The sequence below is a fragment of the Homo sapiens genome, chromosome 6, assembly GCF_000001405.40.
Source record: "Homo sapiens chromosome 6, GRCh38.p14 Primary Assembly".
NCBI lineage: Eukaryota > Metazoa > Chordata > Mammalia > Primates > Hominidae > Homo > Homo sapiens.
The window spans coordinates 159,775,069-159,798,861 of NC_000006.12; the positions used below are offsets into that span (position 1 = coordinate 159,775,069).

General features: G+C 42.2%; 3 protein-coding genes and 2 non-coding genes across 15 annotated transcripts in view, besides 5 other annotated features; 2 read left to right on the forward strand and 3 right to left on the reverse strand.

Annotated features, from left to right (window-relative positions):
* ACAT2 (acetyl-CoA acetyltransferase 2) overlaps positions 1 to 4,044 on the forward strand; it is a 17,068-nt gene extending 13,024 nt beyond the window's left edge. For both annotated transcript variants that reach the window (NM_005891.3, NM_001303253.1), the window contains exons 5-9: positions 102 to 245; positions 1,082 to 1,204; positions 2,234 to 2,388; positions 3,102 to 3,212; positions 3,591 to 4,044. In NM_005891.3, the coding sequence (NP_005882.2) occupies positions 102 to 245; positions 1,082 to 1,204; positions 2,234 to 2,388; positions 3,102 to 3,212; positions 3,591 to 3,761 (704 nt within the window). In that variant the 3' untranslated portion in view covers positions 3,762 to 4,044. The remainder of the gene's footprint in view (positions 1 to 101; positions 246 to 1,081; positions 1,205 to 2,233; positions 2,389 to 3,101; positions 3,213 to 3,590) is intronic.
* TCP1 (t-complex 1) lies at positions 3,430 to 14,534 on the reverse strand. Of its 2 annotated transcripts, NM_030752.3 has the most exons (12): positions 14,337 to 14,534; positions 12,990 to 13,075; positions 12,675 to 12,803; positions 10,832 to 10,929; positions 10,318 to 10,428; positions 9,598 to 9,779; positions 8,873 to 8,999; positions 5,867 to 6,042; positions 5,375 to 5,498; positions 4,827 to 5,019; positions 4,559 to 4,722; positions 3,430 to 4,193 (listed from the first exon to the last, which is right to left on the reverse strand). In NM_030752.3, exons 1-12 carry the CDS (start codon positions 14,398 to 14,400, stop codon positions 3,977 to 3,979), a joined length of 1,671 nt encoding a protein of 556 aa, NP_110379.2. In that variant the 5' UTR covers positions 14,401 to 14,534; the 3' UTR covers positions 3,430 to 3,976. The 2 variants fall into 2 exon arrangements, with proteins under 2 accessions (NP_110379.2, NP_001008897.1); NM_001008897.2 differs by lacking the exon at positions 12,990 to 13,075.
* Positions 5,182 to 5,313, reverse strand: SNORA20 (small nucleolar RNA, H/ACA box 20). The gene has a single exon (NR_002960.1). It is a non-coding gene; the product is annotated as a small nucleolar RNA, H/ACA box 20 (small nucleolar RNA).
* On the reverse strand, positions 10,526 to 10,665 carry SNORA29 (small nucleolar RNA, H/ACA box 29). The gene has a single exon (NR_002965.1). It is a non-coding gene; the product is annotated as a small nucleolar RNA, H/ACA box 29 (small nucleolar RNA).
* Positions 13,732 to 14,396: an enhancer, noted in NCBI's record as "H3K27ac hESC enhancer chr6:160209832-160210496 (GRCh37/hg19 assembly coordinates)". NCBI's record gives its function as "activates a minimal SCP1, AML or CMV promoter by ChIP-STARR-seq in naive and primed H9 embryonic stem cells {active_cell/tissue: H9 hESC(naive and primed)}" and the evidence as "EXISTENCE:reporter gene assay evidence [ECO:0000049][PMID:30033119]".
* Positions 14,397 to 15,060: an enhancer, noted in NCBI's record as "H3K27ac hESC enhancer chr6:160210497-160211160 (GRCh37/hg19 assembly coordinates)". NCBI's record gives its function as "activates a minimal SCP1, AML or CMV promoter by ChIP-STARR-seq in naive and primed H9 embryonic stem cells {active_cell/tissue: H9 hESC(naive and primed)}" and the evidence as "EXISTENCE:reporter gene assay evidence [ECO:0000049][PMID:30033119]".
* On the forward strand, positions 14,744 to 23,361 carry MRPL18 (mitochondrial ribosomal protein L18). Of its 9 annotated transcripts, NR_134860.1 has the most exons (5): positions 14,799 to 14,992; positions 15,600 to 15,719; positions 15,872 to 16,058; positions 22,219 to 22,450; positions 22,984 to 23,361. NR_134860.1 is itself a non-coding variant. In NM_014161.5 (4 exons), exons 1-4 carry the CDS (start codon positions 15,520 to 15,522, stop codon positions 23,053 to 23,055), a joined length of 543 nt encoding a protein of 180 aa, NP_054880.2. In that variant the 5' UTR covers positions 15,399 to 15,519; the 3' UTR covers positions 23,056 to 23,361. The 9 variants fall into 9 exon arrangements, 2 of the variants coding, with proteins under 2 accessions (NP_054880.2, NP_001305746.1); NR_134864.1 differs by lacking the exon at positions 15,600 to 15,719 and having other exon boundaries at positions 14,744 to 14,820; NR_134862.1 differs by lacking the exon at positions 15,600 to 15,719.
* Positions 15,317 to 15,496: an enhancer, noted in NCBI's record as "active region_25392". NCBI's record gives its function as "activates an Ori minimal core promoter by ATAC-STARR-seq in GM12878 lymphoblastoid cells {active_cell/tissue: GM12878}" and the evidence as "EXISTENCE:reporter gene assay evidence [ECO:0000049][PMID:35858748]".
* Positions 15,527 to 15,586: an enhancer, noted in NCBI's record as "active region_25393". NCBI's record gives its function as "activates an Ori minimal core promoter by ATAC-STARR-seq in GM12878 lymphoblastoid cells {active_cell/tissue: GM12878}" and the evidence as "EXISTENCE:reporter gene assay evidence [ECO:0000049][PMID:35858748]".
* Positions 19,899 to 20,770: an enhancer, noted in NCBI's record as "NANOG-H3K27ac-H3K4me1 hESC enhancer chr6:160215999-160216870 (GRCh37/hg19 assembly coordinates)". NCBI's record gives its function as "activates a minimal SCP1, AML or CMV promoter by ChIP-STARR-seq in naive H9 embryonic stem cells {active_cell/tissue: H9 hESC(naive)}" and the evidence as "EXISTENCE:reporter gene assay evidence [ECO:0000049][PMID:30033119]".
* Positions 23,362 to 23,793: the final 432 nt, after the last annotated feature.

Here is a 23,793-nt window from a genome sequence, read left to right on the forward strand (position 1 = left end):
CATATGTGGTCAGTCAGTGCTTGGTCAAATGTGGACGACTTGAGCTATCAAATGCCAGTTCATGAAAATGTTAGTTTTTTGCTGTTTTTCTCCTTTCCCAGCTGAAAATGTAGCCAAAAAATGGCAAGTGAGTAGAGAAGATCAGGACAAGGTTGCAGTTCTGTCCCAGAACAGGACAGAGAATGCACAGAAAGCTGGCCATTTTGACAAAGAGATTGTACCAGTTTTGGTGTCAACTAGAAAAGGTGAGTATATCATAGTGGTTTAAACATCAACCTATTTATAGGTAAGAGTAACATCTAAAAGAGTAATACATAGGAATCTTTAGAAATTATATCTTAGTTATGTTTTTCAGGTTGCAAATATATGTCCTGGATACATGAATGTGGGGAGGGGGTATGCTGGGTTTACAGGACACGGTAACATGGGACCTATGTCAGCACTCAAGCACTCTTGGTTCCAGAGCGTCCATGACCACTGTGCACACACAGCAGGTTTCATGAGAAGCTGGAGCACTGGCTCATGGTTGTTAGGAGGCACCAGCTGACCTGTTTCCTGTATAGGCTCAACCTCCTCAGAAGTGGACACCCATTACTTCTCGCTGTTTCTGTGTGATCTCCATTTCACATTTCTAAAGGGTGGATCTTTTGGGGTCACTCGCTATTTTCTAATACAGAATGCTCCCGTCAAGCTCCCTTATTGATAACTGATATCTCTTATGTCCTGCCAGCAGTGCACGATTGGCTTTGAGACTGCCTGATCCACTCACTCGTAACCAGCCAAGTACTATGACCCAAACTATAGCAGAATTTGGCACAAACAGGTCCCTGGTAGCTACTTTCCTCAGGAAGGCCTATGGATTTGGAAAACACAGGTGTCTCATAAGGACATACTCATAAATTGTTTTCATGTACAATAATTCTTGTGTGTACTTTCCTCCTGTTGTCATCAAAGTGGTCACATATTAAAACTTTTCTGCTAAATATGAATCCTCATGTTTAATGGCAGAGAACCCACCATTCCCAGCACACTTACTTCTGTCTCTGGACTAATCTTGAGTAATTGGTTTTCCTTTGCTTAGGTCTTATTGAAGTTAAAACAGATGAGTTTCCTCGCCATGGGAGCAACATAGAAGCCATGTCCAAGCTAAAGCCTTACTTTCTTACTGATGGAACGGGAACAGTCACCCCAGCCAATGCTTCAGGTTAGATTTTCTGAAGGACATCTGGGGGAATACTATGTTCTATAATGTCTACCGAGTGAATATTTTTCTCTTTATTTATATACAAAAGTACTATTTTTTGGGACAGGGACTCACTCTGCCAGCCAGGTTCGTGTGCAGCAATATGATCATTGCTCACTTGCAGCCTCAAACTCCTGGGCTCAAGTGAGCCCCCTGCCTTAACCTCCCAAGTAGCTGGGGGACTACAGGCATGAGCCACCACACCCAACTCAATATTTATGTACAAAATTATTCTTAAAACAGTTTAAGGAAACATGTCATTTCTCTGTATTTGATCATTGACTTAACCTATACTGAAAGAATTAATTTGGTTTCTTGACATCCCAACTAGACATACAAATGAAGAAGTAAATTAGGGAACTTCAGTTTATCTACCTTTGTATTTTTCCAGTACCAGAAACTCCCAATACCTCCTTGTGAAGCCCAGGCTTATTCTTCCATTTCCTGTCAGAGATCTCCCCTCCCCAACTGCTGTAATCCTTTTTTTTTCTTTTTGAGACGGAGCCTCACTCTGTCGCCCAGGCTGGAGTGCAGTGGTGCAATCTTGGCTCACTGCAATCTCCGCCTCCCAGGTTCAAGCAATTCTCCTGTCTCAGCCTCCTGAGTGGCTGGGACTACAGGCGCACACCACCACACCGGCTGATTTTTCTATTTTAAGTAGAGATGGCTTTCACCCTATTGGTCAGGCTGGTCTCAAACTCCTGACCTCAGGTGATTCACCCTCCTCCACCTCCCAAAGTGCTGGGATTACAGGCGTGAGCCACCACGCCCAGCCCCGACTACTGTAATCCTACCACTTTCTCTAGTTGGAAAGTTTTGTGGTCAATATATTGCCAAACATAATTTCTATGTAAAGTCTGTTGAATTATAGTAAATGCCTTAGCCAACAGGTAAAATCATTTAACTCATGTCTTCAGGTGGTAAAGAAGCCACAGATATGTAACTGAGGTTAATAAGCATGGTAGAAATTAAGTCACTCATATTTTACAGGAATAAATGATGGTGCTGCAGCTGTCGTTCTTATGAAGAAGTCAGAAGCTGATAAACGTGGGCTTACACCTTTAGCACGGATAGTTTCCTGGTCCCAAGTGGGTGTGGAGCCTTCCATTATGGGAATAGGACCAATTCCAGCCATAAAGCAAGCTGTGAGTATAACCCTATTCCCTTTTATGAAATTTGTCTTCCTGTTAGCCTTAAGTGAGCTTATTCATGTAGTTAGCTCTAGTCTTTCCCTACCAGAAGAGTAACCAAGAGCATTTATTTCTATTTTTGAGATAAGGTCTTGCTCTGTTGTCCAGGCTGGAGTGCAGTGGCACCATCATAGCTCACTGCAGCCTCAAAACTCCTAGGCTCAAATATTCCTCCTGCCTTAGCCTCCCATTACCTCGAACTACAGGTGCACCACGCCTTCTTCATTTCGTAGAGACAAGGTCTATGTCGCCCAGGCTGGTTTTGAACTCCTGAGTTCAATTGATCCTCTTGCCTTAGGCTCCCCAAGTGTTGAGATTTCAGGTGTGAGCCACTACCCCCAGCCACTGAGAGCATTTGGATCACATGCTTTCTAGGGGAACTGATTCTGTTACATTAGCCTTAGGTACACATAACAGATGCTACTGGTTCAAAATTTTAAGACAATTTAGAATTTCTAAGGGATCTTTTAGATCACACCCTTAACCTTTTGGATGGAATGGATGTCACTAAGGCAAAAATGTGTGAGAATGTCACTGTATTAACCTAAGAACAAACCAAAGTAGCAGTTACCAGTATCATGCAGCATATATTTATGTTGACAAAGAATGGTTTAACTTTAGCCTTTCCACCCAAGTTTAGACCTCTTTTCTATGAATCTTTCCTCTAGGTTACAAAAGCAGGTTGGTCACTGGAAGATGTTGACATATTTGAAATCAATGAAGCCTTTGCAGCTGTCTCTGCTGCAATAGTTAAAGAACTTGGATTAAACCCAGAGAAGGTAAAGATGCACAAGTAACCCTGAGAGCTTACCAGTGAATTTCACAATCCAATTTTAAGATAGTATCTTCTAGGTGTTGGCCATGTGGGTAATAGTTAAAGAAATACTAGTTACTAGGACTGAGTTCATTACTTCCCAAGGTTTAAAAAAAAAAAAAAAAAAAAAAAAAGACATTGGCTTACTTGGCATAAAAGGAACGAGGTAAGATAGGCAGGGATGAATTTTCACAAAGGTGTAAATTTATTCCTAAGCAGTTAAAATGAAAATTTGAGTTTGAAAGGGTAGCATGCTGATACATTAAGAGGAAAAAGACAAGTTTAAGATTTTAAACTGTGTCCACAGAAGAATAAACAATCTAAATCTTTTCTCCCCCGTTAGGTCAATATTGAAGGAGGGGCTATAGCCTTGGGCCACCCTCTTGGAGCATCTGGCTGTCGAATTCTTGTGACCCTGTTACACACACTGGAGAGAATGGGCAGAAGTCGTGGTGTTGCAGCCCTGTGCATTGGGGGTGGGATGGGAATAGCAATGTGTGTTCAGAGAGAATGAATTGCTTAAACTTTGAACAACCTCAATTTCTTTTTAAACTAATAAAGTACTAGGTTGCAATATGTGAAATCAGAGGACCAAAGTACAGATGGAAACCATTTCCTACATCACAAAAACCCAAGTTTACAGCTTGTACTTTACTTTAATGTGTAATACTCAACTCAAGGTACAAGACAATTGCATTTAACATTGTTATAAATAAAAGGAACATCAGATCAATCATTAAGGGCTCCAGAGTGAACAGCATCTTCATAACTTCCATGTTTATCATCTTTACTTTCTGGATGTAATTTAATAAGATCATCAATTCGAAGAATGGTGATTGCAGCTTCTGTTGCAAATTTCAAACTCTTAACTTTAACTATGGTTGGTTCAAACACCCCTGCTTGTTTGTTGTCTCGAGGTTTACCATTGCTCAAATCAAGACCAATCCTGCAATTAAGAAAGAATTATTTAACGGCCGCTTACAATTTCATTAGGTGGCCTATTAACTCCAGCATTTCATTCAAGTATTAAGGTTGATTTTTAAATCAGACTAGAGATCTTGTAGGTAGTCTTTCTACCAAAAGAAGCAGGGAGAGATTAGCAATCACAGTTAACGAAGACACACCAGTGCTAATAATTAGTCATTATCCCTTGAATTACAGTGACTGAACAACAAATGCTTGCTGTGAAGTTTTTCATGTTAAGTATTTGACAAGTCTGTTACTTATGTTTGCTGACATGTAATTGACTACTATCCTTTTTAATGCAACCTGTTCTGCAGAGGTTAACAAAGAGCGGGAAACCATGCTTACCATTTTAGATTTTTACGTTCTGGGTTAACCTGGGCCTCATTATGAAAAGCTCTTAATTTTGCAACCAGATCTGTGGAGTCCTGGGCAGCATTAACTGCTAGTGTATTGGGAATAACAAGAAGTGATCTTGCAAACTCTGCAATCGCAAGCTGTTCCCGAGACCCCTAGGAAAAGAAGAAAATTAGGTGACTTCACAAAAGGGAAAAAAAAAATTGAAGTCCACAGCTACTGCTCTCAGGCCTCTAAGACAAGAAATGACTGTTCTTACCATGCTGGTTGCATAGTTTTCAAGGTATATGGAAAGGGCTGCTTCTACAGCACCCCCACCGGGAACCACAGATTTTGACTCCAAAACTCTCTTCACTACACAAAGTGCATCATGTAAAGAGCGCTCCATCTCATCACACATGAAATCATTTGCCCCACGTAAGATAATCGATGCAGACGTACGAGCCTTAGTACTGTTCAAAACAAAAGTACAATTCTTGTAATAGCATTTTTAAAAATTTTTTTTTGCCAAGACCATCAATTTCTCAAAAAAAATGGCATTTTAATAAAATAAGTCTACATAAAGTTCCCTTAAGTCCTGCCTACACAGGATATTTAGATATACTATACAGAAACAATGTCTAGTCCCTGCAGAAGAGATGAAAATGGTTACTTCATCTCAATTTACAGTGGCCCAATGTTATTTTATCCCATGCGTATAACTGCTCGTATCACTGTGAGACTACAAGCAGCAAATAAATGGGAAGAAAACCTACTTTTACTTAACAAAATCGGTATAACTTTACAATTTTAGAAAGTGGCTCTTACTTTTTGATTAAGATCAGCTCATCATCACAAATTCTCTCCTGTACCACTTCTTCTGCCTGTCCCAACATTGCAGCTTCAAAAGTTTCTTCACCTTCCAAATTGGCCAGGGTTGACAGAATAGTTGCTAATAAGAGAGTTACAAAGGATCTGTGAATATTGCTCTTTCATGATTTTAATATCCTTGGACTCAGTAGCATTTGTGGTAAAAGTGCTATATTACAAGTTTAGAATTTAGTTAGGCAGCACACGGTAACTCCTTTTATCCTAAGATGGAACTGTCATTTTAGAAATGAACAAATTCAGTTCACAAATTTCCAACAAAATTTCTCCAGTTACATGAAAAATGGCTCTATAAATGTGTTGGTAGCACAAAGCATTAAGAGAATATAAATGTTTTTGAGCTGTTTTCTGTCAATATTCCAATGTAAAAAGACCTTTGATAGGATCAGGGATAATAAAAGTATTTTATGTGACAGCCAGCACAAGACATACCTCCAGAAGCTTTGGCAATGCGTTTAAGGTCCCTTTTTAAAACTCTTCTAACTGCCATAGCACCAGCCTCCACAAAATACTTCAGACACATATCATCAATTCCACCAGTGGTTAGAATAACATTGGCACCAGTTGCCAGGATCTTCTGAATTCTCTCCTTGGTGATATCTGATTCTCTGCAAAGTATTTTTGTAACCTGAGTTACCTTCTGTGATTTTTAAAAATAATTTAACTTCCATTAAGTATTTATCACAAGATAATCATAGATCAAATTGTATTATCCTTTGTTATCTCTGACCAGAATTTAAATTAGTCCAATTCATGGAAAATTTGAAGGAATTAAAAATTACCACTTAGCTCTCCCCAACCCAAATTTGAATTACTAATTGAGAACTATGGTTAAACAGGGAACACAGGTCCTGCCTTCAAGGATCTAGTGGGGAGAGGGATTACCAATCACACTCCAGGGCAAGTGTCACTAAAGTGGTATGCAGAGATTACAAGCACATAAAAGACATAAATTTAGCCTAGGAGGTGGACAATGAAGATGAGTCCAGGCCAAGTGCAGTGGCTCACGCCTGTAATCCCAGCACTTTGGGAGGCTGAGGCGGGCAGATCACCTGAGGTCAGGAGTTCGAGACCAACCTGGCCAACACGGTGAAACCGCCTCTACTAAAAATACAAAAAATTAGTTGGGCCTGGTGGTGGGCGCCTGTAATCCCAGATACTCAGGAGACTGAGGCAGGAGTATCACTTAAACCCGGAAGGCGGAGGTCGCAGTGAGCCGAGACCGTGCCACTGCACTCCAGCCTGGGCAACAAGAGCAAAACTCCGTCTCAAAAACAAACAAACAAACAAAAACAGGAGTCCAGAGTTGAAAGCACAAAAGAAGGCAGAACCAGAAAAGTGAAAAACCTTGCAGGTTACACCAAACAATCTAGATACTAAGCTTAATATCTCTAAGCAAGACTAGTATATCATCTGTGTTTTCAAAAGGATTCCCTGATTATCAATGTGGAAACTGCACTGAATGGCTGAAGACAAGAAGATAATAACATGAGATATAAGCTGAAAGACAACCTAAACAGAAAAGTCAAATTTTATGGCTTGGGTGACTCCTGGAGTAAAATAAATAACAAGAGTTTTGGGGGCAGGATGGGAAATGAGAGTTTAGTTGAGGACAAGATTAAGTTTGAAGTCTCTGCTGTTACTCAGGTGAAGCTCCCAGGAGGCAGTCACTTACATCATGGAAACCATAAACTATGGGAGATCCAGATTTGAAGAGTCAATATGAGTGAAGCCATGTGAATAGATCATTCGAAGAATTTTTAAAGTAAAATGAATTACAGATCAACCTCAAAAGCAGCTTGTCTACTAAACAAGTACTGTGTGCTACACACTGTTATATAAACTCATGGTAAAAACTGTAATAAGCCCCAGGAAGAAAAAATACAGGAAGTTACAACAGAATATAATTTAGATTGAAGAAGAAAGAAAAGCTTCTCTAAGAGACTAGCTTGGGTGTGTTTCTACAACAGTCTAGGCAAGAAAATGAAAAGTAGGTAAATTTAATTTGGAGGTAGAAATCAAGCGGTCTTGGTGACAGATTAGGAGAAAAAGTGTTGGTAAAAAGGAGGAGTTAAGGACATTTCCTAGTTTTCTGCCTGTGTGAAGGACTCCCCATCACTAAAATGGTCAAAAGCAGATTTGCGGTATTATCACAAGTTCAGTTTTAGACATGTTCACTTTGAGATGCTTGAAAAGCATTCTACTAGATAGAGGTATGTGTGTTTGGAGCTTAGAGAAACAGCTGAAAGAGTCTCTGGCATAGAGAGATAATACATGAAGTCATGGGAACAAAGGGGCTATCCTGGAGAGTATTATGACATGGTCCAGACAAAGCAGCATCACAAAGCCTTCCATCCCCGAAAGCATTTCAAGAAGGACATAATCAAAGGGTTGCTAAAGGTCAAGTAAGAGGAAGGCTGAAAATGTCTTCCGAATTTCACGCTAGAGACCTTAACATGCAGTCCCTCAAATGGAGAACAGGGCTGAAAAGGGATGAGAAGAAAAGCACCAGAGAAGTTTTGTGTAGTAAACCACTCATGACATCTGCCTGTAAAGATGTACGATAGGGAGTACCTATAGCACAAGGATGTATGAAGAAGCTTGAAGGACAAAAGAGCCACAGGAAGAATCCAGGAAAGAGCATAATTAGTTGAAGATGCAAGTATGAAACAAGAATCAAAGAAAAGGCTCTAGAGCAGAAGGAAACAGACTCTAGAACACTTACTGTAGAGGGACTGGCTTTGATGGAAGAAAGGACACTTTGTTGTATGAGGAAGGAAGGAAAAAAGAACACCCGTGCAGACTGATTTAAAAGATGACAGCACATTTCTTACTCTTGGCAAAGCTTTCTTGTAGGTCTAACTACTGTTTAAACTATTTTTTTTTTTTTTTTTTTTGAGACAGGGTCTCGCTGTCACCCAGGTTGGAGTGCAGTGGTACAATCACAGCTCACTGCAGCCTCAACCTCCTGGGCTTCAGATTCTTGCCACCTCAGCCTCTCAAAGTGTTGCGATTACAGGCATGAGCCACTGTGCCCAGCCTAAACAATTTATTGTTTTAAGTGACTGTCAGGCAGTCAAATCTATAGCAATGGTCACACTACCTCCACCATTAGCTCTTCTGGCATGCCAACCACTAATATCACCTGCACCTCCAGTATCTAGCAAACAGTAGGTTACAGTCAATACTATACTGCTGAGTTCTGTACTGCTTTGAGGAAATTAGATTCCTGTCTTTTACATCTTTAATATTAATAGACTCATACAATCAAAATTCCACAAAAAGGCCGATTTTCATATAGGTTGTATAACCCCAAATCCCTCTAAAAACACCACCAGGCTAATTTTTCTGGAAGTAAAATAGTTTGACTTGGCTAAAAATGTTAAAGTCCTCCAAGACACTCACACTTAAAAGGCCAAAAATAATCTCTCAACATACCTCTGTCTAATTTGGTCCAGTTTTTCAGGGTCTGTAATGACCACCTGTACACCAAGCTTCATTTTTGTTTTTTGCAGGCTGAAGTCAAGGCAAGCAATTTTTGCATTTACGATTCTCTTGGGCATGCCTACAATTGAACATAAGATTAAGTTAATACGTCTATCCTTAAAAGCATAATAAAGAGTACCTATAATCGATTGTATGTAAACACACAAATTTAGACTAATTCATTGCATTTTATCTTAGAAAAATTTTATGGCATTAAATGCACGTAATTTCTTTTAATTCACATTCCTTCTACCATGTTGTATGTGCTTTAAATTACAAAAAGATGTACTGCACATAATCCACAAAAAAACATTTTTTATTTTTTTTTTTTTTTGAGACGGAGTCTCACTCTGTAGCCCAGGCTGGAGTGCAGTGGTGTGATCTTGGCTCACTGCAATCTCCGCCTCCCAGGTTCCAGTGATTCTCCTTCCTCAGCCTCCCAAGTAGCTGGGACTACAGGCAGGTGCCACCATGCCCAGCTAATTTTTGTATTTTTTAGTAGAGATGAGGTTTCACCATATTGGACAGGCTGCTCTCAAACTCCTGCCCTCGTGATCCACCTGACTCAGCCTCCCAAAGTGCTGGGATTACAGGCATGAGCCACCGCGCCCAGCCAAAAGAAAAGCTAGTTTTAATCTGTAGCAATCTCATTCTATAAACCAAATCCCAAACCTTACCCTGGGATCCCACCACACAGTTGAGTGCATAGCCACTGATGAGCATACTCTCCATTTGACTTCTCCCATGGGCTTTCAAAATATTAACAGAGTTGACTGGATAGCGTGGCTGGCCTCTTATGTCTGTGTATTTAATAGCAAGTACAGCATCTACTACCATGTTAGCAAAGAAATCACCATTTCTACGCCAAAAGTTAAGGACAGTAACAGGTTTGGAATGGACAAAGGGTACACACGTGAAAAATCAAGGGTAATTTCAAGGGACTTCCTTTTAGTAATCTAATCTATTAAAGCAGCAAGCATTACTTGTCACCAAAATGTTACAACATTATCACTATCTGCAATTCATATCACTTTTAGACATGCTTTTTATTACCTTTTCACCCTAAAAAAGCAGGGAAGGCAACAGGTAATTTCAATACAGCATTACTCCTCTCTATTGATATCAATTTGCATAAAATTGGTTATTCAAAATTTTATTGCACAAAATTGATACTGCTGCTACTACGCACGCGTGCGCGCAACACATGCGCACACACGCACCCACTCCCGAGACAGGGTCTTGCTATGTTGCCCACATTGGACTGGCACTCCTGGGTTCAATTAATACTCCTACCTCAGCCTCCTTAGTAGCTGGGACTACAGGCACATACCACCATGCCCATCTCAAAGTCTTATGCTTTAAAAAGTCTAAATTTTATCTGACAACCACAAGGATACATTCCAATGATTTTGGAAGACATGGATGTCTTAGCAGCATTAATCAGGCAATCTCTTCCCAGTTCATCTGTGTTAACAATTAGGTTTTCATTGATATAACGCACTGCTTCCCTGTTTAAAAGTGTGGGGGAGAAAAACGCTTATAAAGTCACTACTCAAACTCTTTGCATTCATCATGCTTAACACAGAGCCAAAATGTCGTAAGTAATAATATCCGTTCAGCCATTTCATATAGGAGGAGGACATGAAAAAACCCTCCCTCTTCAGATCATGGCAAGTTTAATCTATCCCATAAGCATAGCCACTAAAATCTATTATTAGGAGAAAATGTGGTAGTCAAATGAGAAAAAAGATACTGGTCCAAGTTTTTAACTTCAAATATTACTACTTAAATGCTAAAACATTTAAATTGAAGGTTTTCAAATTAAAATTTAGTTATTAATCAAAACGTTAAGACAACACAGTTTACAACTATTACATCAAAAAAAATTTCTCTGAATGCAAACAATCTTACTTGCAAGCAAGTCGATAGCCACTAATAACTGATGTGGGATGAATTTTCTGTTTGACTAATTCATCTGCATTTTTTAGGAGTTCTGCTGCAATAATAACCTGTTGAGAAAACATTCACTGGTCTGAGTGTGCCGGATATTCAACATGTGCAATACATATGGAATGACACTAAAATGGCCATATATTATTAACCAAAATGGTAGTGATGAAATGAATTAACTGGTTATTAGAAACCTGGGCGTGAAGGGAGAAGAACGCTACAAAACACTCCAAGTCCTCCACGTTACTCATAAATTCTTGGAAACTGCCACTTTAAGCAAAACAATGGACAGCAATTTCTCAAATACAGTTGTTTATTGTAACGCTGATGGGGGGAGGAAAACTTGTTTTTTTATACATCATCTTTCCTCTTAAAGTCAGTTTCCATGAAGCCACTGTGGATGTTCAGTGAGGTCTTATTGTATTATAAATGCAAATGGCCAAAACTGGGTAGGAGCCAGAAAAATGTTCTAAGAAACTAGTTCAGCAATAAGAAACTAGTTCATCAATACAACCGTAAAAGACAACACATCTATTACCTTTAGAAAAAATGCTCAACAGAAGCTAAACCGAGTGTGACTATTCATATGACCTATATTAAGCTATTATTTTATTTAAAAAAGATAGTTCTTCAAGTTGATAAAACACTAAGAAATATTTTTAAAGCAAAAAGACTGTCAGCTTCTTATGGAAGGAAAACTACATTTGTTAAATCACATTATCGTAAGTTAGACAAAGATCATATTCATATTTTAGGAGTAGATTCCATTCTTTCATGGCTAAAGTTTAATCTAGAAATACATTTTCCCCACAAACTATCTAGTTTCTCCAGAATTAACATCTTTCTCACCAAACAATAGTGTTTCTACTATACCAGCATGCTGGATGATCTATGAAGAGTTTATACTGTGTATCACATTTACTGACTCGGTAAGATCACACTGTCATATCATGATGTATTTATTAATTTCTCACACTCCCATTTTGAATTCCTGAGATTACCTGTCAGGATTTAAAAAATAGAACAGGCTGAGTGCAGCTCATGCGTGTAATCCCAGCACTACAGAGGCCGAGAAGGGAGGATCACTTGAGGCCAGGAGTTCAAGACCAGCCTGGGCAACATAGCGAGACCCTGTCTCTTAAAAAAAAAAAAAAGAGGTTTTTAATTAGTTGCTTGTGGTGGCACATGCCTGCAATCCCAAGCACTCTGGGAGGCTAAGGCAGGAGGATTGCTTGAACCCAGGAGTTCCAGGCTGCAGTGAGATATGACAGCACTGCAGCACTTCAGACTGTGCTACAGATGGTCTCTTAAAAATAATAATATAAAAACATTGTTTCTCCCCCAGATTGGTAACATTTTATCCTCCAAATAATCAGAAAAGTTGAGAGCTTTCCAAGTCTCAAGGGGTGATGGGGGAGGAAACAAGACTTTTGAGAGACCATAAAAAAATCTGTGTGATGTCTGAATACTGCCATAAAAGGAAAAATAAGCCCTCAAAACTTGTGAATACCAACATTTAAAACAATGGGGCTATGTCAAATGAACTCAAATTCTTTCCTACTTAAACTGTACAAACTAGCTGTAACTATCAACTTACAAATTTTGTTTCTGAATCTGTACCTAAGAAGCTTATTTCCCCTCTTAAATGTGTAACTTCTTTTGTTTTTTCTTCTTGCTCAATCTTCTGGGCATTCAGAATATGTAACTTATTTCTGACACAGCACAAATGACCCACTTATGGCTTCAACTTTCTGAAAGTCGGTCGTTTTTAGAAAAATGATCATTCTTTAGCCAGTCTACCTACCACTGAAGTAGTTCCATCTCCAACTTCTTTGTCTTGCAGATCAGCCAGCTCACAAAGAACTTTAGCTGCAGGATGTTCTACCTCCAGTAACTTCAGGATGGTTGCACCATCGTTAGTAATGGTTACATCCTAAGAAATTCGCAGGAAAAAATATGAACCACTTATAGAAATCAACACAGCCCCATTATAATACACGTTCACCTTTAATATCACCTTCCAGTACGTGGATTCTGATAAAGTCAAAGAAAGAACATAGCAAAACACTGAAGATAGTTTTACTTTAAGGAAACTAACACAACAGTTATGTGTACTTACACCAATATCATCCACCAACATTTTATCCAAGCCAACTGGACCAAGAGAACTTTTTACAATATTGGCAATCGAAGCTGCAGCCATAACTGTAGACAATCAATTAAAAATAAAAAAGAAATGAGGATAAGCCACAACTCTGAAAGACAGTAATTTCAGCCTAAAGGTAAATGACATCCAACAGCCCCCGTATTTCCCAAATCTACAAATCTGTGTTAATTATTTAAAAACCACCTACTAAGAGTGTAAATGGGGCCAGACACTGTGGCTCACAGGTGTAATCCCAACACTGCGAGGCCGAGGCAGGAGGATCGCTTGATGCCAGGAGTTTGAGACCCCTTTGGGCAACATAGCGAAACCCATTTCTACAAAAAATAAAAACAAAGCCGGATGCGGCGGCGCGGACCTGTGCTTGGAGAATGCAGTGAGCTATGATGGCACTCTCGTCTGGGCGACAGGTGGGACCCTGTCCCTAAACAAAGCGAGCCTATTTGGCACAGCTTTGATGCGGGGTGGAATCTGATGGCGGGGAAAAAAAAAAAAAGTAATAACCACCAATTTCATGCTCTGCCACTTCGTACAGCTATACCAGCCTTTTCCTTCAGATTCTGCAAGTTTTTTGCTCATTAAAACTCTCTTTATCTGTGAGGAGAGAAATCGGTAGTCAACGGGGAAGGTGGTGACTTTCAGATTTGTTTACGAAAAAAATTAGGAATCTATCAAGAAACAGTAAGCTCTGTAGGTATCCAAAGGCCTGACAGCAAACGCTCTGCTAAGTTAGCGCTGCCGTCTCCTGGGGTCAATGCACTCGAGTGGCGTTTCCTGGGCTAACTCTACTGTAAGAAGCTGTCAACCCGGATACGGCTGGACGCCGGACGCCCGACCTCGACTGCAGCTGCGGGCGGACAGGGCACCGGGCTCATCCGAGGGCGCGCGGATGGACCTACTCTTTTTCTGGTAAATGGTCCTAAAATAAAACCTGGCGTTTAACATGGACACTCAGGGGGTCGCCCTGAAACAAAAGGGGGTGCGAGGCGTGGCCCGCACGTGCGAGCCCGGGAGGCCCGCTTTCCCGCGGAGGGCGCGTTTCCAACGCCGCCCCGGACACCACATCCACGCGTTGCCGGTCTCAAAACCCTGCCGCGCGCGGCGGGGCTCCTCCTCGCTGTGGGAAAAGTGGGGCCACAGCGCCCTGCCCCAGAGAACGGCGGGTGGGCTGGGTCCGGCTGCGGGGCCCCGAGGCCCTTTCTGCGGAGGTAAAGGAGAGAAACGAGGGCAGCCGGGGTCCGGTCGCGGTGGGACTCGGCCCTCCCCGGCCGCAAACCCGACCCAGGCCCGGCCCGCCCTTACCGTTTTGGGAGCGGATCGTTTCCCCAGTGCTGCGGTCACCGAACACGGACAAAGGCCCCTCCATCTTGACGGCAGCGATACACGTCGAATTCTGCTTACACCGCGGGCAACCAGTATCGCGGCCCCTCGGCCGACCGGCGACCACAGCAGTGGCTGCGACGGCGTGGAGCGTACCCGAGCGATGTCCCAGGAGCTACTGGGTAACACACCACCCCACCCGCTTCCCGGCTGCCCCGGCCCGGCCGCGGGGCACGGCGGGAAGGAAAAAGAGGCAGGGACAACAGGGAGAGAAACAGGACTGTGACGGAAGTGAGGCTCCGGGGAAGGGGCGGGGTCGGCATTTTTGTCCAATTAGATAGCCGATGGGAAGGGCGCGAAAGCGGAGAACGGAAGTCGGATGTTGGACCGCTGGGAAGAGGTTGAACCTTCGCCTCAAACGATGTTGCGCAGACGCAGTGGGCCATTCTAGTGCCTTCTAGAAAAGGTTGTAAGAAGGGTGGAGCTTGGAGCTGGGGTGTAACTGGAGGGGCGGGCCCTTCTCCAAGTTAGAGTTGGGGTTCTGAGCGAGTCGTGCGTTTTAGGTTTAGTGTCTTTTCCTTGTCCCTGCTCGGGGAGCGTGAGGCAGATCGGCCGGCTTTGCTCCAGGCCTCAGGAGTGTAAGTTTAAGGGCGCGAACCTGGGTGGGACGGGGCAGTTTTTCCAGCGGGCCATACGGGAAAATTTTTGGTTCGAGGAAGACAACCACCCTTTTTAAGGAGAAAACTGCATCTTGCCCTGCCTTATTCCTACGCGGTGCCCAGGTGGGGTGTGTGTGGACCAGTCGATGACCGCCCAAGCTCTCCGAGTAGAAAACCCAAACATGGTTTTGTGGGGTGTGTGCCTTTGACCCCGGACTTAAGCAACAAGCGTGGTCTTGGGCGTAGCTACGAGGTGGTTGGTGGGCTCCAGGGCCTGCGTGCCCCTCGACGTGAGCGATGATTGGCGATGAAGGATAACAGATCGCCTTCTCGGCCACTCAGTGGCAGGGGACTTGCTACTTCCGGGTCGGTGGCGTCTGGCGTGGAGAGTTTGGGGATCTACAGCAGCCAAAGGCTTGTCCCTGACTTTATATGGCTGCTCCTGGCGAGCGACTGAGTCGTCCGTGAGGAAAAAGAGGCGAGGCTTTTCCGAGATCGTCTCAGCGATGGCGCTTCGGTCGCGGTTTTGGGGGTTGTTCTCGGTTTGCAGGAACCCTGGTAATTAGTCTTGCCCCCCTTCTCCCAGCTCACTCGCCTGGGCTTGCACAGTACATTGGAACGTGCGGGTTCTATTTTGTATTCGACGTGCCGGATCGAAATAGAGCTCGCGGCACTGCGAAGACCACAGTAGGAAGTTAAGGACGGGGTCAGTGCTGACTCCACCCTGTGGGCATACGTATTTTTCGTCCCCTCGGGCCTAAAGATTGGGGGTGTAAAAGCGGATAGACGTTAGAGCGGGTTCGTGCGCTGTCCATATCCGTCATTTTTAAGCCCTGTGCGGTTTTTCCCGTTGCCCAGGGTGCAGGTTCGCAGCCCTGTCAACCAGCTCCGAGCCGGCAGCGAAACCTGAAGTGGACCCTGTGGAAAATGAAGCTGTCGCCCCAGAATTCACCAACCGGAACCCCCGGAACCTGGAGCTTTTATCTGTAGCCAGGAAAGAGCGGGGCTGGCGGACGGTGTTTCCCTCCCGTGAGTTCTGGCACAGGTAATTAAATCTGCTTGTGATTGACAAGGGCAGTGCACCCTACAGACTATTTTCATTCATTCAACTCCAGGCACTCTCCCAGGTAGCTGCCATGCGGCGGGTAGAGGCAGGGTTCGCGGAGGGGCTGGAACAAACAACAAATAGGTGTGATGGGGGCTATTTAAAGAGGATGTTACAGTAGCGGACAGGATACCTGCCTGTCTGAGGTGACATTTAAGAAGGTGAGATCTGAAAGAGGAAGAAGCCTAGTCATCTGCCAGAAAGAGCAGTCCTAGCAAAGGAAACTGCTGGGGTGAGGAACTGAAGGGCTTGTGGATCTGAAGCTCAATGGGCAGAGGATGAATGGCCCAAGATGAACATGGAGGGGTAAGGAGGCGACAGATGATTAGCTTTGTAAGTCAAGATGAGCACTTTAGACTTTCTTTTCATTATAGTGGGAAACTACGAGAGGATTTAAAGCTTGAGCCCGAATTGGTTTTTCAAGATCATTCTGGCTGGGCGCATTGTCTCATGCCTGTAATCCCAGCACTTTAGGGAGCCAGCCGAAGAAGCCGGATCATCTGAGGTCAGGAGTTTGAGACCAACCTGGCCAACATGGTGAAACCCCGTCTCTACTAAAAATATAAAAATTAGAGGGGCGTGGTGGTGCACGCCTGTAATCCCAGCTACTCCAGTGGCTGAGGCACGAGAATCACTTGAACCCAGGAGGCGGAGGTTGCAGTGAGCTGAGCGCCTGGGCGACAGAGCAAAATTCTGTCTCAAAAAAAAAAAAATCATTTTAGCTGCTTTTTGGAAGATTAAATTTTTGAGGGAGCAGGACTTGAAGAAAGACCAGTTAGGAGTCTAGTATGACTTGAGATACTTTGTTATAAAGGTGGTTGTTTAATGAACACTTACATTTGCCAGGAATTATGCTACTTGCTTTATATGTTTTTTCTCATTTAATCCTTAAAATTACATCATGAAGCAGTTATAATTTCCCCCATTTTACAGGATCAAAGAAATTGAGGTTTAGGGAGACATGATTAGTAAGTGCCAGAGCTAAGATTTACATATGTTTTAACTGACCTCAGAGCCAGGACGCTAGGTTATTACCACTATACTACAGCATGTAAGTGTTTATCAGGTTTATCTGCTGCTTATCTGCTTGGTGAGGATTTTTTAGAATTTCTTAAGGACTTCTTAAGTACTATGTAAAGTTGTAAGAGTAAATTGGAAATCATTACTGTGTGATGTATTATTTATTTATTGAACAAGCATCATACCTGTATCACTTGCTAGGCATTGCGTTAGAGGCAGGAGTTACAAAGATAAAGTAGATGTTATCCCTGTCATCAAAAGTCTTAAGTTTCATAGTGGAAAGTGGAATGGGGATAATGATGTGTTACAGTTGCTGTAATACATTTTTACTCATAGAGGAGGGAGTCCAAGAAAGGGAGTAGGCAGTTCACTTTTTAAATAATCTGGATCTTAAGGCTAAAAATCTTTTGAAACACCCAACCTATTACTTTCTTTTTTCTTTGTTTTTGAGACAGGGTCTGGGTCTGTTGCCCAGGCTAGAATGCAGTGGTATGATATCTGCTTACTGCATCCTTGACTTCCCTGGGCTCCAGCAATCTTCCCACCTCAGCCTCCTGAGTGGCTGGGACTAGAGGCGCATGCCATTACTCCCAGCTAATTTGTTTTGTTTTGTTTGAGACAAGCTCTGGCTCTATCACCCAGGCTGGAGTGCAGTGGTACAGTATCAGCTGGCTGCAACCTCTGCCTCCCAGGCTCAAACGATTCTCCCATCTCAGCTTCCTGAGCATCTGGGACTGCAGGCACACACTACCATGGCCGGCTAATTTTTTTCTTTTTCTTTTTTTTTTTTTCTGGTATTTTTTGTAGAGATGGGGTTTTGCTGCTGCCCAGGCTGGTCTCGAGCTCTTGAGCTCGAGAGATCTGCCTGATTCAGCCTCCCAAGGTGCTGGGATTACAGACGTGAGCCACTGCACTCGGCCCCAACGCATTACTTTGATTTAATATTTGGATCATTAAAAATAACTAAAGATGTATTTCCTCATTTTTTCTCTGTCTGCCTTACTCGCAATATTAAAAGTAGAGAATTTCAGAATATTATAGTAGGAAATGACCTTTGACATAATGAATCGGGCCCTTCATTGAACAAATGGTTCAAGTGTCAGCAAACTACGGCCCGTGGGCCAAAGGTAGATTGTGAGCTAAAAACTTGTTTTTACTTTTTTTAAGTTAAAAAAAAAATCAAAAGAATATTTTGTGGCTTGGGAAAATTAAATGAAAATCAAATTTCGTTGCCCAGGTTCTTAGAACCTAGCTGTACCTACTCTCATTTGTTTACGCATCACCTGGCTGTTCTAGCACTACAATGGCTGAGTCGAACAGTTTCAACAGAAGCTATTGGACCTAGAAAGCCTAAAATATTTACTATCTGGCACTTTGTGGAAAAAGATTGTTGACTCCTGGTTTAACAGATTGTGATTTTTGGCCGGGCGCGGTGGCTCACGTTTGTAATCCCAGCACTTTGGGAGGTCGAGGCGGGCGGATCACGAGGTCAGGAGATCAAGACCATCCTGGCTAACACGGTGAAACCCCGTCTCTACTAAAAATACACAAAAAAATTAGCCAGGCGTGGTGGCAGGCACCTGTAGTCCCAGCTACTAGGGAGGCTGAGACAGGAGAGTGGCGTGAACCTGGGAGGCGGAGCTTGCAGTGAGCCGAGATCGCGCCACTGCACTCCAGCCTGGGCAACAGACTGAGACTCCGTCTCAAAAAAAAAAAAAGAGATTGTGATTTTTTACTAGAGCCACCAGGAAAACCAGGAGTAGACTCCATATTTCCAAATCTAATGCCTCTTCTATTTCACATTGAGAATCCTAGTGAGAATCTAATGATTTGGGTGTGTTTTCTTTAACTTAAACTTGACTTTTTAAAGGGTAACATATACGTATGTTATAAAATCCAAAGGGAGTACAGTTTCTTGTGTGTCCTTCTAAAGATTGTCTATGCATATAAGCAAAAACTGTTAAAAACAATAAATCTTAGCATACGATAAACACTTCCGCATCTTTCTTCACCACCACCCTCAACCACCCCAAGCACGCACTTAAAAATACATCTTGGAGATTCTTCATGGTAGTTAAGAGCATTGACTCTGGAGCCAGACACTGGGACTTAAACCATGGCTCCATTACTTACTAGTTTTAATCTTTTTCAAGTTACTTAACCTTTCTGTGTTAGTTTCTGCAGCTAAAAAAAAATATAGAAAAAATAATAGAATTGAGACATAAGCTTTATCTATAAACCGTTAAGACAGGCCTGGCATATACTAAGTGCTCAGTAAATGTTAACTATTATCTTCATCATTATAAAGCATTATTTCATTCATTTCAGTAACTGTATGGAATACTATTGCATGGATTTTACTTAACTCGCTCCTAGAGGGTGATTATCTTTTATGATTACAGTGTTGCATCGAATTGTCTTGTCCATGCATTTTGTTAGTGAGATTGAGCATATTTTTGTGAATTTGAGTCATTAATATTTTTCTTTTCTGTGAACAGTCTGTTTGGATAATGCTTTGCCTATTAAGTTATGAAGGGGTGGGTTGCCCCTCCTCACCTGTGGGTGTTTCTTGTTAGGTGGAACGAGAGACTTGGAAAAGAAAAAGACACAAAGTATAGAGAAAGAAATAAGGGGACCCAGGGAACCAGCGTTCAGCATATGGAGGATCCCGCCAGCCTCTGAGTTCCCTTAGTATTTATTGATCATTCGTGGGTGTTTCTCTGAGAGGGGGATGTGTCAGGGTCACAAGACAATAGTGGGGAGAGGATTAGCAGACAAACATGTGAACAAAGGTCTTTGCATCATAGACAAAGTAAAGAATCAAGTGCTGTGCTTTTAGATATGCATACACATAAACATCTCAATGCTTTACAAAGCAGTATTGCTGCCCGCATGTCCCACCTCCAGCCCTAAGGCGGTTTTTCCCTAACTCAGTAGATGGAACGTACAATCGGGTTTTATACCGAGACAGTGCATTGCCCAGGGACAGGCAGGAGACAGATGCTTTCCTCTTGTCTCAAGTGCAAGAGGCATGCCTTCCTCTTATACTAATCCTCCTCAGCACAGACCCTTTACGGGTGTCAGGCTGGGGGACGGTCAGGTCTTTCCCTTCCCACGAGGCCATATTTCAGTCTATCACATGGGGAGAAACCTTGGACAATACCTGGCTTTCCTAGGCAGAGGTCCCTGCGGCCTTCCGCAGTGTTTGTGTCCCTGGGTACTTGAGATTAGGGAGTGGTGATGACTCTTAACGAGCATGCTGCCTTCAAGCATCTGTTTAACAAAGCACATCTTGCACAACCCTTAATCCATTTAACCCTGAGTTTGACACAGCACGTATTTCAGAGAGCAGGGGGTTGGGGGTAAGGTCATAGATTAACAGAATCTCAAGGCAGAAGAATTTTTCTTAGTACAGAACAAAATGGAGTCTCCTATGTCTACTTCTTTCTACACAGACAGTAACAATCTGATCTCTTGCTTTTCCCCACAAGTTATTGATCATTTTCTTGTTAATTATAGGAGGCTTTTAACATATTGTGTAAATTAGCTCTTTGAACAATATATGAGTTTAAAATATTTTTTCTTTTTATATTTTTGTGACAGGGTTTCACTCTGTCACCCAGGCTGGAGTGCAGGGCATTATCACGGCTCACTGCAGCCACAACCTCCTGGGCTCAAACAATCTTCCCACCTCAGCCTCCCAAGTAGCTGGGACTACAGGTGCACACCATCACGCCTGGCTGATTTTTTCTATTTTTTGTAGAGACAGAGTGTCACTGTGTTGCCTGGGCTGGTCTTGAACTCCTTGGCTCTAGCAGTCCTCCTGCCTCAGCCTTCCAAAGTGCTGGGATTACAAGCTTGAGTCACATGCCCAGCCTAAAATATTTTTTGTTTCATTGCTTTTCTTTTGACTTCATTTTACTTTTTTTTTTTTTTTTTTTTTAACCATGCAGCAAATTTTGTCCATCATTTCTTTTTTATGCCATATGAGGGGCTGGGCATGGTGGCTCAGCCTGTAACCCCAGCACATTAGGAGGCTGAGGTGGGTAGACTGCTTGAGCTTAGGAGTTTGAGACGAGCCTGGGCAATATGGCAAACCCTGTCTCTACAAAAAAATACAAAAATTAGCTGGGTGCAGTGGCATGCGCCTGTAGTCCCAGCCACTTGGGAGGTTGAGGTGGAAGGATGACTTGATCCCAGGAGGCAGAGGCTGCTGTGAGCCAAGTTCGTGCCTCTGTACTCTAGCCTGAGAGACAGAGGCAGACCCTGTCTCAAAAAAAAAAAAAAATGGCCATATGAAGCTGGACACAGTGGCTCATGCCTGTAATCCCAGTGCTTTGGGAGGTTGAGAAGGGTGGGTCGCTTGAGGCCAGGAGTTTGACACCAGCCTTGGCAACATAGGGAGACCCTGTCTCTACAAAATAAAAATTATCTTGGTGCAGTGGCATGCACCTGTAATGCCAACTACTTGGGAGACTAAGGCAGGAGGGTTGCTTGAGCCTAGGGGTTTGAGGCTACAGTGAGCTGTGGTTGCACTGCTGTACTCCGAGCTGGGTGACAGTGAGACCCTGTTTCTGAAAAATAATAAAAGCCATATGACATGGTTTGATGTCATATTTAAATATGCATACCTTGAGATTATAAAAAAATTTCTCATGTTTTCTTCTAGTACTGTTATGATTTCAGTTTTTGCATTTAAATTTTTGTTCCGTCTTATATTTATTTTGGTGCTAGCTATAAATAAAAGCAAAGAGTAAGTATATCCATGTCATGCATATGTTCAGTAACTTAGCTCTGTCTCTTCAAATCTCTTTTTGAAGTAGATCTGTAAATAAAACTCAGCTCTTCAGAAACAAATTTCTTCATGATACTTGAACTATTTAGTTTGTTATTATTGAGGATATTCTCATAAAGGCGGAGGAAAAATACTTTTCCCAAGCAAAATCCAAGTTAAATATGTTGAAGTAAATGAACCAAACACTGGATTGTTGAAAAATATTTAGTCATTTATTCACCTCAATTAATGTAACTTTAGGATACAGATTCTTCTGTGATTTTATTATCTTCTCACCCCATTTAGGTTGCGAGTTATAAGGACTCAGCATCATGTAGAAGCACTTGTGGAGCATCAGAATGGCAAGGTTGTGGTTTCGGCCTCCACTCGTGAGTGGGCTATTAAAAAGCACCTTTATAGTACCAGAAATGTGGTGGCTTGTGAGAGTATAGGACGAGTGCTGGCACAGAGATGCTTAGAGGCGGGAATCAACTTCATGGTCTACCAACCAACCCCGTGGGAGGCAGCCTCAGACTCGGTATTTTTGTTTTCATGTACTTATTGAAAAGGTATTGTGTTAATTCTTGGCATTAGATAACTTACATAATAATAACAGTTTTTACTTACCAAATACTTTCCATGTGTCAGACCCTTTGGTGAGTACTCAACAGTGTTACTTCATTTAATCCTCACATCAGTCCATAGGGTAGGGACTAGTACTCTCATTCTATACAGAAATAAACTGAGGCTTACTTGCCCAGAGTCAGTGTATGGTGGATTTCAAACCCAGGGTGACTGATTCTGTAGTCCATGATGTCAGCCACTGTATTTCCTGTTCATATATTGACATCTTGTCCATATAATATTTTGAAATGCTGCTGAACCTTGACATCTCTACATTTCCTTTTTACTTACATCATTATTAAGATCACTTTCTGAAAAACCGTTGTAGGCTGGGAAGTTAGCAAGAACAAATCAATTTATTTCTGTCTTTTGGAAGGTGAAAGTATTTTCAGCCTACTCGTGCTGCTGACTTAATCTTTTCCTTTTTTTTCTGATTTTCAAAACCAGATGAAACGACTACAAAGTGCCATGACAGAAGGTGGTGTGGTTCTACGGGAACCTCAGAGAATCTATGAATAAATGGAAGCATTAATTGTTTTGAACATGTAAATATAAATCTGTCAGCCACTACAGCCATCAAAAGAGAGCATCTGGAAGAACAGCCAGCTTGGAAGTTTTACAGCAATAATGTTGCAGTGGAATATTATTTGTAGTTAAGGTCATCCTCCTCCCCTTTCTGTTTTTTTAAATCAAGAACTACGTTCTGCCCCTCTCTTGGGCTTCAGAAGCATCTAAGAAAAGCAGTCATCAATTATAATTAACTTTCAAAGGGCAAGTCAGAAGTTGTTTATAAATTACAAAATAAAGGCATATTATGAACTCTTATTTTCTGGTTATATGACATTGTCTGAGCTCACTGTGGCAGTGGAGCACATATGAGGTTGATGTAAAGCACTTATTACTGTGTCTAGTTCATGGCGAGTGATCTCAGTGAATGACAGTTGTTTGCTGCTCGGAGTGTGGGTTGTTTTTTAAAATAGGAAATGTCAGTATCAATCTAATACTATAGAACAGTCAGTATGTGAAAATGAAAGGACCAAATGCCAACCTCACTTGGACTCTTGGTTCCCAACAGTAAGAGAAACAAATTTGAAAGAGGAAGGAGGTGGCATCAGGAGCTGAAAGCAGAGGTGGAAATGGTTGGGGTTAGTGGGCGCTCAATTTGCCATGAAGTGAACATTTTATTAGATAGGAGATGAAACTTGAAATGCATGCAAGTTAATCTAAAATTTGAGCTTGGGTAGATGGGAATCATGG